Source organism: Homo sapiens, chromosome 8 (assembly GCF_000001405.40).
Source record: "Homo sapiens chromosome 8, GRCh38.p14 Primary Assembly".
In the NCBI taxonomy this organism is placed as follows: domain Eukaryota; kingdom Metazoa; phylum Chordata; class Mammalia; order Primates; family Hominidae; genus Homo; species Homo sapiens.
The window spans coordinates 53,821,807-53,842,465 of NC_000008.11; the positions used below are offsets into that span (position 1 = coordinate 53,821,807).

Genomic DNA, 20,659 nt, shown 5'->3' on the forward strand with positions numbered 1-20,659 from the left:
ACCAAAAGATGCAAATCAAAATATCTCAGGTGATGAAATTCCTCTCCCAAGAAAACAACTGCAAAACAAAACTGTAACGTAACAATGCAAACTGAATTAAATATCCTCAAACATCTGGAAAAATAAAATACCACCTTGAATCAGAAATTCAAAACCAAAACTGAGAAATCTGCCCCTAATAAAGGAAAATTTAAAAATAGCTGATTGAGTTCAAGAAAGAAATGAAAGAAAAGAGCAAAATGGTCTCAAAAAGTAAAACTAAATTATAAGGTGTTCAACAGAGAACAGACTCAAAAGTCAAAGAACTGTGAATCAGAGATCCTCTATCAGCCAAGCTGCTCTTCAAGTATGAAGATTACAGGAAAAAATTTTAATGCAAAAATTTAGAGACTACTGTACACATAAGACATTCCTGAGGAACCTACTAGCAGATAAGCTTCATCTAATTAAGAGATCCCTGGGAAAACTTTGGCAAAAGAACCAGTGGTGAAAATTTAATATAACAAAACAAAGGTGGGAACAAGTGTAGAATAATAATATATAAATGTTATATGTTCTGACAAAGTAAAAAATAGCCACTAAAAAATGAGAAGAGAGGAAAAGTAGAATAAGTTCATTGACTGTTGCAAATAAAAAAATACTATTAAAAATGACAAGTGAAATTATAAATGAATAAAACAGGGGATTAACAGCATTAAAGGGATATAAATACAAAGATAACCAACAGAACAGACAGAAAACTTCCTAAATGCCAAAAAAGTTTAATAAAAATGCAAACAAAACACATAATGAAGAATAAAATAGTAATGCACACAGTAATCATAACACAGTATGACAGTTGAGATCAAATTTCTTAGTAATATTCATAAATGTGGATGGTTTAATTCACCTATTAAAAAAAGGGGTTTCAACTCACAAACAAGACCCGAATCTATACTGTATACAAAAGACTTACCTAAAACAAAATGATTCACCTAAAAAAGGGACAGGCAAAGATATGCAGACAATCAGAAACAACAAGAAGCCATGAGTTGCTATACCAGTATTAAAGTATAATTTAAGCCAAAATGTATTAAGTATGATAAAAGGGACACTTTTAATGATAAATGCCACAATTCACTGTAGATATAACACTAATGTGTATATATGCACCAAATACAGCATCCACCTTTATAAAGTGAAAAGTACAAAAGATATTAGAAAAGTAAAAAATGCATTTATAAGGGGGAGACGTTTAACATACCACTCTTAGTACAAAAAAAACCAGACCGAGAAAAAAGTAGACAAAAAGTAAAGGTATAGAAAACCTGTATCCTAAATAATAACATAATCAATAAAGTAGATCTGATAAATATAAATCAAACTTATACCCCTTAAGAAAGAATACATCTTCTCAAGGACACCTGGTATATTTATAAAATTGATCATATACTATAAAAAAAGTATCAGTAAATTCTATAAAGTAGAAATGTTTTTAAAACATGATATTTTGAAATCTATAACAAAATGTTTTAAGCATTTCTGCCTGAAAATTAAAACATAAATATTAAACAACCCTCTGTGAAAGGGAACGCAGAAACTGGATTAAGAAAAACCTAAATCACTACATATCAGAGCTGAAGGATATACTTTAAGCAGTAATCAAAGGAAAATGCATATATTTAAATACTTAATTTTTGGGGGGGCGGGGGAGATAGTTTCACTCTTTCTGCCCAGGCTGCAGTGCAATGGCACAATCTCAGCTCACTGCAACCTCCACCTCTCAGGTTCAAGTGATTCTCCTGCCTCAGCCTCCCAGTAGCTGGGATTATAGGCATGCGCCACCACACCTGGCTAATTTTTTATTTTCAGTTGAGATGGGGTTTCACCATGTTGGCCAGGCTGGTCTCAAACTCTTGACCTCATGAACCACCCACCTCGGACTCCCAAAGTGCTGGGATTACAGGCATGAGCCACCATGCCTGGCCAATATTTATTTCTTGTTAATAGAAGAATGGAAATAAATTAAAATTCCCAGTTCAAAATGCTAGTAAAAGAACAAAGTAAACAACAAAAAAGAGTAAAGGAAGAATATAATAAAGGCAAAAGCAGAAATTAAGGTAGAGAAGAGAAAAACTATAGATCAATTAATATGAAAATCCTGACTCTGAAAAAAATTAACAAAATGGGGGAGAAACACTGGTTAATCAAGAAAAAAAAAAAGCAGAAAGCACAAATAAACTAAGAAATGACATGGGGGACATAATATGCAAATAGAGAAAAAAATTTGAAGCATAAGATTTAATAAGATTAGTCTTCTATGAAAGTAAATGTAAAAGCTTCAATACAATAATTTCCAGAGAAAATACAGATTACCAAAATTACCACCATTTGAGATAGAAAGCTTCAAATGAACAATTTCTGTAGAAGACATAGAGAAAGCTATCAAATAATTACCCCACCAAAAACAACAGGTTCAGATGTATTCACAAGGGAATTTTACCAAAACTTAGCCCTTGTAGTCCTAATGCTAAATAAATTGTTGCAAAGCATAGCAAATAAAGAAAAACCTCCAAATCCTTTTTATCAAGCAAGTATAATGCTGATACCTAAACCAAATGAAGAAAACAAAAAATAAAATAAAATTGTAAACCAATTACACATATGAACACTGAGGCAAAAATCCTACATAACAGAAAAGAGAATTCAATATCATATCAAGAAAATATGACAACATGACCAAGTGGGATTTAACCTCGAATGCAAGGTTGGTTCAGTATTATAAAATCCATTACTATAATTCACTATATTGATATATCTAAGGAGAGGGGAAAAAAAGTCATTCAATTATCTATGTAGATGCCCAGAAAATAACAGCCTTTGACAAAACTCAACACCTATTCTTAATAATAGCACTCAAAAACTAAGAATTGACAAGTTCTTATAAGCCATAAGAATTAAAAAAGTGAAATTATCTGTTTTATAACCCATAAGAATTGAAAAAGAAGTAAAATTATCTGTTTTTGCAAAAATAGAAAATTATAAAATTTTAATTAAAATTTATAATTTACAACTTTTATAAATTAGAGAAAAATTCAATCACAAAATTAATTCAAATAAAAGAATTCACTAAGGTACCAAAACAGAAAATATACAGAGATCAATGACTTTCATATACATTAACAAACAAAAGTTCAGAGATAAAATGGAAGAGAAATGCTGTTTTTAACAGTATAATTAAGATAAAATATGAAGGTATAAACTTAACAAGAAATGTTGCAAAACCATTATGTGAAAATTACAACACTCCTGAAGACGCAGACACACCTAACAAACGGAAAGGTATACCTTGTCCTTGGACAGAAAAATTCAGTAATATAATGATGTCATTTCTCCCTAAGTTAACTTATAAATTTATTATTAGTTTTTTAAATAGAGACAGGGTCTCACTATGTTGCCCAGGCTGGTTTCAAACTCCTGGCTTCAAGCGATCCTCCCACCTCAGCCTCCCAAGGTGCTAGGATTACAGGCATGAGCTACTGCCAGGCCTTGTTTTGATTTTTTTTTTTAAATAGTAACTTACAGATTTAACACAACTTAGTAAAAACACCAACAAACTTTTTCATAGATCAAATAAGCTGACATTCCATTTCATACAAAAAAAACAACATTCAAGAAAACCTAGGTAAATACTGGGGGAAAAAAAAAACTGCGAAGGGAACTAGCCATAAGATCCTCTATCATTAAACTGGGTGGTGCTGGAGCATGAATACACAGGCATTCCAGAAGCAAAGTATAAAAGGTACAGAAATAAATCTAGTTATATAGGGAGGTTTGATGTTAAAGGCAGCATCTCCAACCACTATGGCAAAGACTGACATTTTAATAAATGGTGCTAGAACAACTGAATGGCCATTTGGAAAACATAAAATTAGACACATACCTTACACTATAGACAAGAACCAACTCTAAGCAGGCCAAATGTCTAACTAAAGATGAAACTATACAAGCACTAGAAAAAAACCTTGGTGAATTCCACTGTAAACTTGGGTATAAGGAAAAGCTTTCTATTACTCAAAATCTAGATTAAAAAAATTTTTTTTTATAAATTAGACTATATAAAAAATAAAAATAAATTGTTTTACCCTGTGAAAAATGTTATAAGCTAAGACAAAAAGGTAAATAACAAACTGGGAGAAAATATTTGCACTTTGTTCAGAGATATATGCCTAATATATAAAGAACTCCTTAAAATGGGCAAAGACATGAGCAAATAATTCAGGGAAAAAAATGTAAAAGCAACCTTTAAGGTCATCTAAAGATGTTCAACCTCGGACACCATTCTGATAGGCAAAAATGTAACAGCTTGACAATGCCCTCTGTTGAGAAGGTTACAGGGAACCAGGCACTCACACCCTGCTGATGAAAATGCAAAATGGAATGTCTGGCAATATCTTAACAAAAAAAACTACATATGGAGTTACCTCTTATCCAGCAATCCCATTTCTAAGAATTTACCATGAAATATACACCCAACAACACAAAAATATATTTGCACAAGGTTATTCTTTGCTTCATGATTTCTAATTCTAAAATTTGGAACCAACCACAATGTCCATCATTACATCAGAGGCTGAGTGAACTATGGTACATCCACTAATGGGGTACCATGTAGCTGTCAAAAACAGAACAGGGAGATGAGATCTCTATGAACTGACACGTAATGATTTCTGGCATATTCTGTTAAGTGAAACAAGCAAAAAATAAGAGATTATATCTAATAAGTGTTTTATAGAAATAAGAGGGGGAAATAAAAAAATATACATGTGTCTGCCTGTCTATGTTCACAGAAAAAAAAAATTAAAAACCAATGATATTGGGCTGAGCGCAGTGGCTCACACTTGTAATCCCAGCACTTTGGGAGGCCGAGGCAGGCAGATCACTTAAGGTCAGGAGTTCAAGACCACCTTCGCCAACATGGTAAAACCCCGTCTCTACTAAAAAAAAAAATATAAAAATTAGCCAGGAATGATGCCGGGTGCCTGTATCCCAGTTACTCTGGAGGCAGAGGCAGGAGAATTGCTTGAACCCAGGAGGCAGAGGTTGCGGTGAGCGGGGGTTGCACCACTGCACTCCAGCCTGGAGGACAGAACGGAATTCTGTCTCAAAAAAAAAAAAAACTATGATATTGGTCACCTACGAGAGGGAGGTGGGAATGGGCTAGGATTAGTGACATTTCTCTGAGTATACCTTTCTGCATAGTTTTGACTTTTGGAAACATGTTAATGTTTTACATACTCAAAAATAAAATGCAGGCTGGGCATGGTGGCTCACTCCTGTAATCCCAGCACTTTGGGAGGCCGAGGTGGGCAGATCACCTAAGGTCAGGAGTTTTGAGACCAGCCTGGCCAACATGGTGAAACCTCGTCTCTACTAAAAACACAAAAATTAGCCAGGCATGGTGACAGGCACCTGTAATCCCAGTTTCTCGGGAGGCTGAGGCAGGAGAATCACTTGAACCCAGGGGGCAGAGGTTGCAGCGAGCCGAGATCACGCCACTACACTCCAGCATGGGTAACAGAGCAAGATCCTGTCTCAAAAAAATAAATAAAATAAAAATAATAATAATGAAATGCACAAGGATGAGGAAAAAACTAAAATAGAATACAACAGAAACAAATGACTCTTACAGTATTTCATGAAAAATAATCACTCTGAAACTTGAACACAGTATTCTGACTATATACCCTGAGTTTAAAACAAAAAACTGCAAACAAATACTGAACTCCAGGTAAAAGACTTGTTTTTTGTGTGTATGTGTTTTTTTCAACTCGTATTTTAGGTTCAGGGGTACATGTGCCGGTGTGTTATATTGGTAAACTCATGTCAAGGGGGTATGTTGTACAGATTATTTCATAATCCAGGTACTAAGCCTAGTACCCAATAGTTATTTTTTTCTGATCCTCTCTCTCCCCCCACCCTCCACCCTTGAGTAGACCCCAGCTTCTGCAGTTCCCCTCTTTGTGTCCATGTGTTCTCATCATTTAGCTCCCACTTATAATTGAAAACATGTGGTATTTGGTGTTCAGTTCCTGTGTTAGTTTACTAAGGATAAAGACCTCCAGCTCCATCCATGTTCCTGCAAAGGACATGCTCTCATTCTGTTTTATGGCCGTATAGTATTCCATGGAGTATATGTACGTTTTCTTTATCCAATCTGCCATTGATGGGCATTTAGATTGATTCCATGTCTTTGCTAATGTGAATGGCGCTGCAACGAACAAACACGTGTGTGTGGTCTTTACAGTAGGACGATTTCTATTCCTTTGAGTATCTACCCAACAATGGGATTGCTGGGTCAAATGGTAGTTCTGTTTTTAGCTCTTTGAAGAATCACCACACTGCTTTCCTCGATAATTGAGTTGTATGGGTCCACAACTCTGAAACTATTTTCTGTGTATTTTAGGGTAGAACAAACAAGTAAACACACTGAGGATAAGAGGAACTCACAATCTCACTGTTACAGAAGAGGTACACATACGGAAAGGAGAGACAAAGAACCCTGTGGTGCTGCGCTGAAATGTAATGGGAGCTACCAGCATGTCATGGTGTTAATTTATAGATATGAGCATATGGACAGTAATTAAGGATATGAGCAACCACGGTCCGCATGCCGACTCACAGCTCCCTCATTCTAGGTACAGTCCCATACAGTAACAAGATAACCATGGCAGATCATAACATTCACATTTTTCTAAACTTTACTGTTTTACATGAAAAAGTGCTCAGAGAGACTGAGGTCATTCTCAAGACAGTCCTGATATTGATCCTTCCTCACATTATAAAATCACTAGATTCCTATAAAGGACATGATGACCCCTAGGAAGACAGCACCATTCTGCCCAACCTTTGTATTATCAATAATAGTACAGTGCTTGGTGAAAATTAGGCCATCAATAAATGTTTTTTTCCTTATAAGTTAATAGAACAACCCTCCCTAAACACCCAGACTGACTCTTTCCTTCAAGTCTCCTGAGACACTCAGCAGCTGGAAGGCCGATCTCATAAGAACTGCTCTACATACCAACCATCTAAGCCTAGATTATACTCTAGTGTAAAATACATAAATATGAATAAAGGAGGCCTCTCCTTTATTCATAATTGGGTTCAGGGATGGTAACGCAGTAAACAGAAACTGTATGCAACTGGAAACGTTTTCGATGATAAGCAAAACTGTTCCCAAAAGGAACAAAAGCACCGAACCTCCAGGGCCCGGCACTGGCCTAGAACATATGAGCACTGAAATGTGTTGACTGATTGAATGAGAAGGAGCCATATCATCCATAAGTACACAGAGCATCCAGAAAGCCTCAGGTGATACAGCAAGCTTTGCTGGCGTTCAACAAAAAACTCTGAGGTATCTCAGAAAAATATACATATTGATTACTTGGTGTTCTGAAAAACAAAAACAGCCTGTGTGTGGGTATCTCTGTCTTTAGCTCTATTAGCAAATTACAACCCACATAAATGAGAAAAATATATTATTATGCTCTAGAAGAGAACAAATGTTCTAAGTGAAATCTCACCAAAAATGCTGCTACTGTGAGGTATGCAAAAAAATGAAGTCACCAAATGTGTTAAGTAAAGAATATACCTACCTGCAGCATATCATCCACCATAGTTAGTATATACTGAACGGTCTGTTCTTTGCAGATATGAGTCATCAGATTTATAAATGTTTTAGCACACTAAAAAAAAAAATGAAATTAAAGTTATTGTTTTTATTTGCAGACACATTTCAATGGAACTTCAGTAAAACATTGTCTCTCTTTCATAAATTAGGATACAAATATTACTAACAAATTTTACTTACAGAAAACATATACCTTTTATAAATATTGTGATGAAGTATGAGAGGACCTTACTATGGCTTGTATCAGCTTGTGAACATTTCTAGTGATAAGTTTCAGAATGTTTACTATTTTTAAATAGATATACTTAGCCACTAATAACTCTTGATTACCGACGACGGCATAAAGTTATATAGGCAATCAAAAATTACAATTGGTTTTGAGTATTTTATTTGTTGTACTTAAAGGGAACAGAAGACAAGAGCAACAAGAGTACCAGAGATTGGAATCAGAAGGCCCTGACTAGTCTCCATTCTACAGTGTATCAACTACATGACAACCTCTCCATAATTCAATAAAAACTGCAGCCAACAATATATTACCTACCAACTTCCCCATGACTGTTGTAAGAATCAGACCAATTTGTATATGGGCTCCTTCAGCCAATGAGGCCCCCCGATAGGCAGCAGAATTGAACCTTATTATGGGGCCAAGTTCTAAACTCAGCATATAAATCAAATAGGGTACAAATCAAAACACTCTATAAAATCCCTTAAATCACCCCCCAAAAAACATAGTTTTAAGTATGCAACAGCATTCAGTAATAGGTTTGGAGTCATACATTGAAAAACTTCCCCACCTTAAGGATGTATAAATTAAAGTGTATTTCACTTGGTATTCACTCATTCAATAAATCCCCAATGTAACAAACAGCATGTGATAAAAACCATGCTATAAAAAAATGGAGACCTTATCAAAATCATACTTATCCTAGAACTTACGCCTACCTATGAATCATGTCTTCCATGGATAGACAGCCCACTCACCATACTGAATGTAAACAGTTAACAGTAACAAATAGTTGGGTTTTTTAATCAAAACACTAAAGTGGAAACACTTTAACCTATTTAAGCAAAATTAAAAAAAAAAAGATATAAGTTGCCCACGGTATTTCTGTCAGAACTCTTTTTCAGATATACTGCCATTTTGTTTGGATAAAAAGCTTCCTGGCAACTGCCCCATAAAAGGCCCATCACACCAGACACTGCTATTAAGAAAGAACTGTTTTTGCACACTTACTAAGAAACAGGTTTAAAAAAAAATGAGAAAAAAAGAAAAGAAAGGGCTGTTTTAACTCCTAACTCCTTAAGGGAAAAGTCTTGTCTTATTAACACACATCCCCAGTCTCACCAGGCACATGGCAGGGACTCAGTGTGTATGTGCTGAAAAAACAGTGAATCAGCTACATGTTCCATTGCACATGCGGTTGGGGTGGGGAAGCTTTTTCAAAGGATGACACCAACAGCAGACATCACAAAGGAAAGGAAGAACTAGATTTCATCGCACAACTTAAACTTCAATATGGCAAAGACCCCATAAACCAAGTTAAAAATTCAACAAACAAGCTGAGGAAATATGGCATGCACAAAGCTGGTATACTTAAAACATAAAGGAAACTGACAAATCAATAAGATTATAAACACTTCCATAGAAAAGTAAATAAAAAACATACAGCCATGTGTCACTTAACAATGGGGAAAGTTCTGAGAAATTCATCATTAGGCAATTTCCTTGTTGTGTGAACATCCTAGAGTGTACTTACACAAACCCAGATGGTAGTGTCTACTACATACCTAGGCTATATGGTAGAACCTATGGCTCCACACCTGTACAGTCTGTAACTATACTGAATACTATAGGCAACTGTAACACAATAGTAAGTATGTGTGTGTCTAAACATAAACATAGAAAACGTGCAGTAAAAACATGGTAGTATAATCTTACAAGACCGCTATTACATACACAGTCCAACACTTACCAAAACATCTTTATGTAGTCAGTGCATGACAGTATAGAAGCAATCGATATGGATACAAAAGGTGCCAAAAACCATCTGAAAATGTGTAACACTATTACGTTAAGATACTATCTTTCACCTATCAAAATGACCAAAAGATGAATGGCTAGACCCAGAGGGGGTGCTGGAGCAGGGGCATGGGCCCTCTCATATACTGCTGGCAGGATCTGCAAACTGGTACAATCTATCAAGACAGCATTTTCATCATATCAAAACTCTCACACGCTCAAATAGTTTAATCAATAATTACACTCTTTTTTTTTTTTTTTTTTTTTTTGTATTTTTAGTAGAGACGAAGTTTTACCATGTTGGCCAGGCTGGTCTCGAACTCCTGACCTCAAGTGATCTGCCCGCCTCAGTCTCCCAAAGTACTGGGATTACAAGTGTGAGCCACTGCACCCAGCCAGATAATTGCACTTCTCGAATTAATTATGAGATTACTAACTGTTCGCCTCAAAACAGAAAAAAAAGGAAGTAGCCAAAATATGCAACAGTATAGAATTAGTTTAGATCATTATGGTTCATCCATTAAATGGAAAATTACACAACGGAACTTTCCATAAATGGGAAATAATAATAAATTAATTATTTTAAATACCACAGAAATATCTTTACAGGCATAGTAGGGAAGGGAAGAATATACAGTTAAATGAAAAGAACAAAGATATGTACATATCACCCCTTTTTGTAAAAAGTTCACATTTGTAGAAATAAGTGTATAAGTTATTTTATGCACAGAAAAATATCTAGAGAGGTATACGCTAAGTGTAAACAAGTCACCTTGAACAGAGAAATATTAGGTAGAATAACTTTTTTCTTTTGCTTAATAGTATTTTATTTTTCTACAATAAACTTACCATGAAAGAATGTAAAACATCAATATATGTAACTAAACATTTTAAACCACTGTATATGAAAAAACTCCACAACCCTTCAAAGATAAATAGTAAAAAAGGAAACTATGTTTGCTATAAATATGGCAAACAGTAATAAATTTTGTATGTAAAAAGACTGTTTATCAAAAAGTAACAAAACCTTATATATTAAAATAAAAAGAATGCCACCGCCAAAAAAATTTCAAAGGACATATAAATACTTAATAAATCAACAGGAAAATAATGTAATCCCATGTCATCAAAGTGATATCCCTTTTAACTTAGCAAATTCAAACATTTTCAATTATATTAGGTATTTCAAACATTACTAGTAAGAATACCAAGTGGAAAAAATTCTCTTAAAAAAAGAAAAGTTAAGCAACTTTTAAAACTTAACATACTCTGAAACAGTAACTTCTTTTCCAGAAATTTGTCTTCCAGGTGTATATTCTAAGAAAATATTCAGAAATACAGAAAAGGATGAAGGTAAACATGCTCAATATAACGTTCTTTCCAAATTAGCAAGAAAACTGGAAGTCACTTATAATCACTAAGATTTTTCTAAACTTTTGGATGACACGGGGAAGTGTTCATTATATAATGTTTATTCATCACCTGGCTGCCTTCAGTTTGAAGCATCTCTTGCTTCTCTTCAGGGCTTCGTTTCATTTCAAACCTCTGAATAAACTCACAATCTTCAGCAGAAATCATCTGTCCCCTAGAAAGTAAGAATAAGATGTTTTGTTCAGTAAGAGTTGAATATGTAAGCAAGCGATAGAGGAATTTTCAGTCCTTCTCTTCTCTCCTTGGCAGCAAACCACAAGGGCTGACGCAAGGGCCCTGGCATCAGACAGACCTGGATTCAATGCTTAGTTTCTCCACAAATAAGACAGTGTGAACTCCCTGGAACCTGAGTTAATTTATCTGCAAAATGCGAACAATAATCGCATTGCCTCTAAGGGGCTGTACTGAGGATAAAATTAAATTCACATAAGGTGGTTAGTAGCATGTGGCAAATGGTAGGCACTCAGTAAAATGTCACCTCTCAGCATTACCCAGTGTCTCACCCTTATTCCCCCTCTCAAGCCAAACAATTCACATGGCTATCTAATTTATCAAGTCCAAAGCCACTTTATATGAATTTCTACGACCATTTTTCTCTAGTACATTCTTTCCCTCCAGACAGAAAAAAAAAAAACAAAACTGATTTTCCTCCTCTCTGGAAAATAACTCTCCATCCTGACCCCACACTCTCCTATTTTCCTCCATCTCTTCCAGGGGTCGCTTCATCACTGGCTCTTCGCCCTTCAAGGCTCCTCCCCAGCACTCAATCACTGAAATCTTGCTTTTGATTTCCAAACTCCTTCCTGTGAGAGATTCAATCGAGAGTCCCATCTTCCCTCCCTCCCAATCATTTCCACTGTCTTCTACCTCCAGAGATAGTCTTACCATTTTCAAATTCAGCATCATGTTCCTGTCATCTTCCCTGTCATCCCCAGTGAAGATGATATCCCACTGTCACTTTCCCCGGTGGTGATGCTGCTGAATTTGAAAATGATAAGACTATCTCTGGAGGTAGAAGAAACACAGCTCAACCTTCCCAACTTCTCCACTCCTCAGGGACTCAATCATACAATATAGCAAACCCCCATCCTAATCTCTAAATACAGACCCTTCCTTGTCTAAAAGATGTGTCAGCAGAACAGACCTGCTAGCCCCCTGTAAGACTCTGGGCACTTCAGGATTCATTCAAGTCAGCTCCTTTAAGCCACCAGTATGGTAGGAAAAGCAGAGAATTTGAGTCAATATGGGGAAGAGTTCCAGTTCCAGGTGTGAAAGCTTAGCAAGTCACTATTCATCTGACCACTATTCACACCAGTAAAACAGCAACTATGATACTACCTGCCCTAGCCCACTAGGTGGTTATGCAGATTAAATGAAAAAATATAAGAAAAAGCACTCGCTGTATATTAGAACATGGGTAAAAGCAAGTGTAAAATTAAAAATTTTTGTAATCTATTTTCCTGTTCAAACAACACCAATATAGTTTTTTTGGTTTTTTGTTTGTTTGTTTTTGAGACAGAGTCTCACTCTGTTGCCAGGCTGGAGTGCAGTGGCACGATCTCAGCTCAATGCAACCTCTGCCTCCTGGGTTCAAGCCATTCTCCTGCCTCAGCCTCCCGAGTAGCTGGGACTACAGGCCCATGCCACCACGCCCAGCTAATTTTTTTATTTTTAGTAGAAACGGGGTTTCACCATATTGGCCGGGCTGCTCTCGAACTCCTGATCTCGTGATCCACCTGCCTCAGCCTCCCAAAGTGCTGGGATTACAGGCATGAGCCACTGCGCCTGGCCCCAATATAGTTTTTAACTCAGTAGTTTAAAAAATTGTCCCTCCTCCCCTGACCCCAAATATGTTGAGGAATTGGTGTTCTCAAAACCCACTCAGAGAAACACTGAATGTAAAGCAGGTTCCCACTATGCACAGTTAGGCTAGGTGCAGTGGCTCATGCCTGTAATCCCAGCACTTTGAGAGGCCAAGATGGGGGGACCCCTTGGGCACAGGAGTTTAAGACAAGCCTGGGCAACACCGTGAGATCCCCATCTCTACAAAAAATAAAACAACAAAATAAGTTGGGTGTGGTGGCACACTCCTGTAGTCCCAGCTACTCGGGAGGCTGAGGCACGAGGATCACTTGAACCCAGGAGGCAGAAGTTGCAGTGGGCTGAAATTGTGTCACTGCACTCCAGTTTGTGTGACAGAGTGAGACCCTGTCTCAAACAAAAAAAAAGCATAGTTATAGAAGGATGGCCCACTTTCAGAGCTGCCTCGGGTCAGGCTCCCAGAGCTGGGCCCTGAGACGAAGATTCATGTACAAGTGATTTATGAAAGAAGAGCTCCCAGGAGAAGCCAGGGATAGCATGAAGGGCTCAGGACACTGAAGCAAAAAAGCCCAGCAGGATTCAAGCAAAGAACCCAGGACAGCTTTCCCTGAGCCCACAGGAGAGCCTGGGAAGGTGAGGCACTCAGAACTGTCCCCTCCCCAAGAGAAGGGACCTGAACTTGCATATGTCCTACTACTTCTACCCTTAACCCCACCCTCTTCCAAAGAAGACCTTGATTATTACATATTCAAAAATCTATCAGTGTCCCTTCTGGGTTTTGTACATACTACTGCTATATGCCAAATTGTTTTGTATAGTTCAAATTTGCTTCTGGACTTTGTAATTCACTATTCTGTCTTCTTACATCAGTTTCACACTGTTTTAAGCACTGTAACTTTGTTTTCACACATGCTCATTTTTTAACATTTTAAACTATTCTCATGCATTTATTTTTTTCAACAATTTCTTAATTACCAACCCAAAGGAGAATTCTGTCTTTCTAGATCTCTCTTAGGCAGGTGACACTATGACTACATCTTGACACTCTCTTCCTTAGCTTCCAGATTCTTCTCATCCCACTCAAGTCACTCATCTTCACTGCCTCCTGTGCCTCAGCTACTATGAAAAGCTCTCTTCATTTCTCACTACACCCCCTGCGCTGAACTCTGGCATTATTTCCCCCGGTCCCCACTCATATCCTCCCACAGATGGCAGTGGCACTCCACACCCTACAGGCGCAGAACTAAGATTGTTAATCCCAAAGGCTAGAAGTTGGAAGCAAAAACAGACACTTTGCCCACTTTCCATTCTGGCTAAGCACTTCACGTACCGGTCAGGAAAAAATGCACTCTGCACCCTGGGGTAGACTAAAATAACAAGGTCATCCAGTCTAGATCTGGCCCCAAAATAAATGAAATGTTGAGCACACTGATAAACCTGAACTTCCTAGATAAAAATAATTTTACCCCTAAATTTTGCTATGCTGATATGTAAAGGGATGTCATAACCTCTGTGAAGAAAATCATGTCAAAAGGTGGTGGTTTTTCTACCATGAAGAAGGTATACCATGAAGGCTACACTTGGTAACCTTATAATTTTGCAGCTTTCTTTTCCATTAAAATAACTGTTTCTTATTTGTCTAGCCACTCCCTAACCTTTTTCTTTCCTTGTTTAAGTTATTTTCTCTCTGGGTCTTCCTTTGACATTTCCATAATCCAGCAGGTTCGGGGCTCTGGTATCTTCTAGAATGACCCACAGCTAATCAGGCCCCAGACCTAACAATCTTCCCCTTAAAACTACTCTCCTCTCTACTTCCCTGCCTCTGGAGTAGCTCAGCACTAGGACAACCTTCCACCAGTGGATTTCCCCGCATCCAATTCAACCTTCTTCAAAACCATCTTCTTACCTACTACCAGGCGGCCTTCTCAAGTACATATGGGGTCATATTATTCCCTTGGACTGTGAGTTCTACCTAGCACTTACGCAGAGGCATTCAGTAAAAATATTTAAAATCAATTGACTAACTAAAACCTATATAATCATGCACATGTTACTTAACCCATCAGAACAGTTATCTACTCATCTTTAAAAGAGAATAGGATAGAAGCTGGGCATGGTGGCTCATGCCTGTAATCCCAGCACTTTGGGAGACAGAGCCGGGTGGATCACCTGAGGTCAAGAGTTCGAGACCAGCCTGGCCAACATGGTGAAACTCTGTCTCCACTAAAAATACAAAAATTAGCCAGGCGAGGTGGCAGGTGCCTGTAATCCCAGCTACTCGGGAGGCTGAGGCAGGAGAATCACTTGAACCCAAGAGGCGGAGGTTGCAGTGAGCCAAGAACGCACCATTGCACTCCAGCCTGGGCGACAAGAGTGAAACTCCATCTCATAAAAAAAAAAAAGAGAGAGTGAATAGGATAGAAAAACCTATGTCACTGTATTTCTATGAAAATAATGTTAAATAGGATGTTAGTTACCAAGCATGTTACTTCCTTTTCCAAATACTCATCTCCACCAATTCCTGATAAGCACAATACTCCATTCATAATTTAGTCAACTAATATTAACTGGCAGCCTACTACATGCCAGGCACCTGTAAGAACAGTTGACACATCAATAAATAGGGACCCCTCTTTTCAGCCTGCACTCCAGTGAGGAAAACAGAAAATACGCAAATACAAAAACAAATAATCTTGAAAACACACACACATGTTATAATGCTAAGGCTGTAAATGCTATGGAAAAAAAAAAAAAACCAGTCCGGGTAGGGGGCTTGTGAGATCACCTATACAGCCACACAAATGAAGTGAATGAAGAGGCCAAAGAATCTAAGGGTGGAACTTCTGGAGAGACAGATACACAGGTCCAAGGAGCTGAGGTTTGCTATGTGAGAAAGATCAAGAAGGCGGGAGCTAGAGAGCTGTGAGCGAGGGGGCATGATCAGACTTGTATTTTTTTGAAATCACTCTCGCAGTTCTGTGAAGAATTGCTCCTACTGAGGCAGCAAGGATAGCAGAGACAGACAGCAGGCAACAGGCAATAACAACAGAGCACATGCAAGGGGAACACAACATGCACGAGGCAGGAACCGCAGACACAGGATCGCACTCAGATTCGAGGCATCTTTTGGACGTAGAGCTGGAAGAATGTGTTGATGGGCTGGACATGGACTGTGAGCAAAAGGGAAGCAGCAAGGATGGCCCCAAGGTTTTTGGCCTCCGAAGCTGGTAAATGAAGAAGCCTGGAGAGAGCCACACTGAACTACCTGAAGCTCCCAAGCACTGCATGTCCTCCCAGGCCTCAGCTCCCTGCCTGGACCTCCCTTCCTAGATAACTCCAGGTGTTCCTCGGCCTGGACAACTCCTGTTACTGTCTTTTTTTTTTTTCTTTGAGTCAGAGTCTTGCTCTATTGCCCAGGCTGGAGTGCAGTGGTGCAACCTCGGCTCACTGCAACCTCCACCTCCTAGGTTCAAGCGATTCTCCTGCCTCAGCCTCCCAAGTAGCTGGGATTACAGGCACCTGCCACCACACACGGCTAATTTTTTAGTAGAGATGAGGCTTCACCATGTTGGCCAGGCTGGTCTCAAACTCCTGACCTCAGGTGATCCACCCACCTCGGCCTCGCAAAGGGCTGGGATTACAGGCGTGAGCCACCGCGCCTGGCCACCTGTGAGTGTCTTTATGCGTTCTGTGAAAATTCCCCCAATACTCCCAGCATTTATTTGCTCCCACTTTTTGTTGTGTATTTCCTTTTGTTGTAAATATATATACACTTTATATATTTATATATTTCTCTATCTTAACATTTAGCACAATTTGCTATTTAATTTGATAAAAGTCTGTTTCCTCATGAGATTTAAACTCATGAGCAAGGATGGCATTTTATAATTCTTGTATCCTCAAGGTAGTTTTACCAGATTCCAGTTTGACTAGAACACAGCCATACCCATTCATTTATGTATGTCTATTTATTAAGAAAAAAGCTTAATCAAATATAAATACATGTTTCAAATACTGTATTTTCATAACATATTAATTTGTGAAGAACAAAAGCATATTGGGCTCTCGACACTGGGGGACGCTTCCACAGGTCTTATTATCTCAGTACAGAATGTGATAGAAGATTCACTGATTCTTCATGTGTTGGTTCCAGCCCCCAACAATCTGTAAGCTCTTTTATATGAGACACATTTCACACCCACCAGCACCCACACATCAACAGGCTCAACAGGCCCACAGTTAACATTTGGTGAACATTTGCCCACAGGCCTACGGAGTGGAGGGGTTTTACAAAAGAAATTTGTGAGATGGACATCAGAACAAAAGACAGATATATAGGAAAACGGGAAAACACAACATGTCATAGACCATGGGTAACGAAGAACAGAAATAAAGCAATTTTAAAAGCTCCATGTAACTACAAACATTCCAAATGCCAACGTTAGGCGGAGCTCTGGCCAGTCCACCAGTGCTTTATGATCAACAATATTATTCTATGTAGGCTATAAACAGATCCAGGCTTTATAAACATAAAACTCCCTGTCCTCTAGTCTAAATGCACTCTGGACTAAAGAAATTAGGAAACAGAGCTCAGAATCCTAATTTCACAGGGAATTTAAACAATTACACAAACACTGATGAACAGAGAAAACATCAGCAAGTCTCCCCTCCTCCTGTCCTTCAGTCAGTGGCCCCACAATAACCCAGTTCCTTAAAGTAGGAATCCAGAAGTCATCCAAGACTTCTCTTTCACCCCCACACACCAAATCAATCACTAAGACTCTCTCAATCTAACCAATTCTATCTATTCCAATACCTTGGTTACTGCTATAGCTTCTCTCTACCTCTAGACTTATCACCTACAAACTCACCCTTCATGCTGCTAGTAGAACAATTCAATCAAGAGGCAGATATGGTCTTCTAACTCCCGGCTACAAGATTCATTGGTTTCCAACACCTACAGCTCCTTGGAAAATGGTGAATGGTCTCAAAAAGAGGGCTCTGGGACACACACTCCCACCTCCATTCTATCATTTTCATCTGTTTTACATGCTAACTTCATATCAATCATGGGCTTCACAGCTTAAAAATCAGCTTGAAAAGCACTGACTGATAGGATCAAGTCCAAACTCCTTCCAACCACACACCCACACACAGCATCTTCACGATCGGCCCCTGGCTGCCTCTCTAGCCTCAGCTCTCTGCATTGCCTGCCTCCAAAACATGTATGACTCCCACCCAGTGTGCTGTTTTTGCTTCCCTGCCTTTGCTCACATTATCTGTTCTATTCCCAAGGCTGCTCCTACTTGCCACATGGCTAAATACCCATCATCCTCAAAAACTCAGTTCAGGGACCAGCCCCTTCAGGAAAATTTCCAAGGGGTAGAATTACTTGTCTTTTTTATGTGCACCTGCCAGACCCTGTGCATCTTTCTATTGCCACAGTTAACATACTGAATTAGAGCCGGGCACGGTGGCTCACGCCTGTAATCCCAGCACTTTGGGAGGCCAAGAGGGGCAGATCACGAGGTCAGGAGTTCGAGACCAGCCTGGCCAACATGTTGAAACCCTGTCTCTACTAAAAATACAAAAAAATTAGGCGGGCAAGGTGTCAGGTGCCTGTAATCCCAGCTACTCGGGAGGCTGAGGAAGGAGAACTGCTTGAACCCGGGAGGCGGAGGATGCAGTGAGCCAAGACTGCCCCACTGTACTCCAGCCTGGGCAACAGAGTGAGACTCTGTCTCAAAAAAAAAAAAAAATAGTGAATTAAAATGATCTATTAATACATCTGACTTCCCTACTAGAGTTTTAGTTCCTTCAGGGACAGTACTCTGTATGGAATTTTTGTAGCCTCAAAGCCTGGAAAAATGCCTCAAACTTGGCAGGTAATCAATAAATGTTTGATGAGTGATTAAATTAACAGAAATTAAAGGATCATTTTTGTACATTATAGATCCCTCCTACAACAACACAAACTATTAATACTAATATAAAATTAACACTAATATAAAACTAGATTCCTCAATTTGTTTTTCAAAATGCATATGCAAATCTGAACTGAATTCCTTGGTAACTCAGTTATAAATATACCAAAATAAATATGAAGTCAATAAAATATGGTCAAGAATACATGAATGCTCACTTTATAGATAAATACAAAATACTGAAACATCAGCACATTAAATATTAATACATACAAGAAAGAAGGGGGAACTAAAATGTATTGTATTCAACATACTAATGCTTGTATTCTACTGTGCTAATAAATACATTATTTCAGCAACAAGCCTGTGGGGTATGTCTCCCCATTTCACATTTTACTTTATTGAGCCTCAGAGAAGTTAAGTGATTTGCTTAAGATCACCAAACTAATAGCAAGAACCAAAACTCAAATCCAAGTCTCTCAACTCAAATATCTGTGCTTCTTATTAGTTGTATGCACCACTCTAAAAAGGCCACCTGCCCCCATGCTGATTGCCAGGGCATATCAGACCAGTCTAGCAGGTTTTGCCCCTCATCCCCTTCCTCCCTCCGTTAGCCCAAGGACATTCCTCCTATGTTTCCCACTTATTCCAAAAGTACTTCCCCAGGCAGCCAGAGAAGGTCAAAAGCACCATAAGCCGCTCTGCTTCCCCACTAGGGCGCCAAGCTGTTTCCACCCCACTACACTTAACTCCCTAAGACAGCTAATTATTCTGAAGAGGAAGTGTTTCTTCCACATTTTTCAGTATTTTCCCTGTATTTCTCTCATAGAAGCATGACCATGAAAAAGTCTGATGCAAAAGCATATGACTGTCCATGATTCACAGCAAATTGGTACTTACTGAAGATAGGATTGCCAGTTGACTTTGTTTGCACGAACTTCTGCAGCCTTGGCAGCAATAATATTGGTGGGGACAGCAGCATCCACAGCACCTCGGATATCCATTTTGGTCATCTAAACTTCGTAATCTTGAATGTCTTTCAACAAATCTTCAATTTTGATGCAAGGTAAAAACAGAATACGAGGTGTTTCTTTTTTTTACAACTATTAATATTATGATTATGAATATCGTGATCACTTTAATCTCCCCAGGCATTCAACTCAAATATTAAATGTCCTAAGTCTGAAAGTATCATTATATTTCAAATATTGTCCACTGCTCCATAAAAGAGTTCTTTAGGCTTTTGCTTTTCTAGAAAAATTTTTTTCATTATTGGCACTAACACTGCAGTAAGATTTTTAAAGCAATCACCTAATATACTGAAATCAGAAATCATGATTAAATAGAATAGGTATAAATATGGGAAAAATTGTAAATTTATACAATTGTGGTTAACTTTTCTCATAGAGAAACAATAAGAATATGAATAGTACGGATAAGGCTAGTTTTATAAACATTTACTAAGCATCATTTTGAAGTGGCACATTAAAAATTCTAAGTCCTTTCGAAAATTACTCAAATTAAAATACACAAAGTGGGAACATAATTTCTTAGAAGACAGTGCTTTCCTTTTCAAACAAAATTCATAGTATTTGCAAAATCAAAATTCGGAGAGAAAGTTTTAGAACAAATACATATTACAATTTAGGTAAGCCAACAATGGCGGTCTGGCTGGACGACAAGAACCTACAATAATGAAATTCTATGTAATTCTCACTCCTAAACTTCCAGATACAAACGACTGATTTTAACACAAAGCAAAATACAGGTTGCCACTTGCAAAACATA

General features: G+C 38.1%; 1 protein-coding gene across 4 annotated transcripts in view; it reads right to left on the minus strand.

Moving 5' to 3' along the window:
* Window positions 1-20,659, minus strand: part of ATP6V1H (ATPase H+ transporting V1 subunit H) — a 127,703-nt gene that overhangs the window by 106,264 nt on the left and 780 nt on the right. For all 4 annotated transcript variants that reach the window (NM_213619.3, NM_015941.4, XM_006716455.4 and 1 more), the window contains exons 2-4: window positions 19,772-19,919; window positions 11,178-11,280; window positions 7,638-7,727 (exon numbers count right to left, since the gene is read on the minus strand). In NM_213619.3, the coding sequence (NP_998784.1) occupies window positions 7,638-7,727; window positions 11,178-11,280; window positions 19,772-19,884 (306 nt within the window). In that variant the 5' untranslated portion in view covers window positions 19,885-19,919. The remainder of the gene's footprint in view (window positions 1-7,637; window positions 7,728-11,177; window positions 11,281-19,771; window positions 19,920-20,659) is intronic.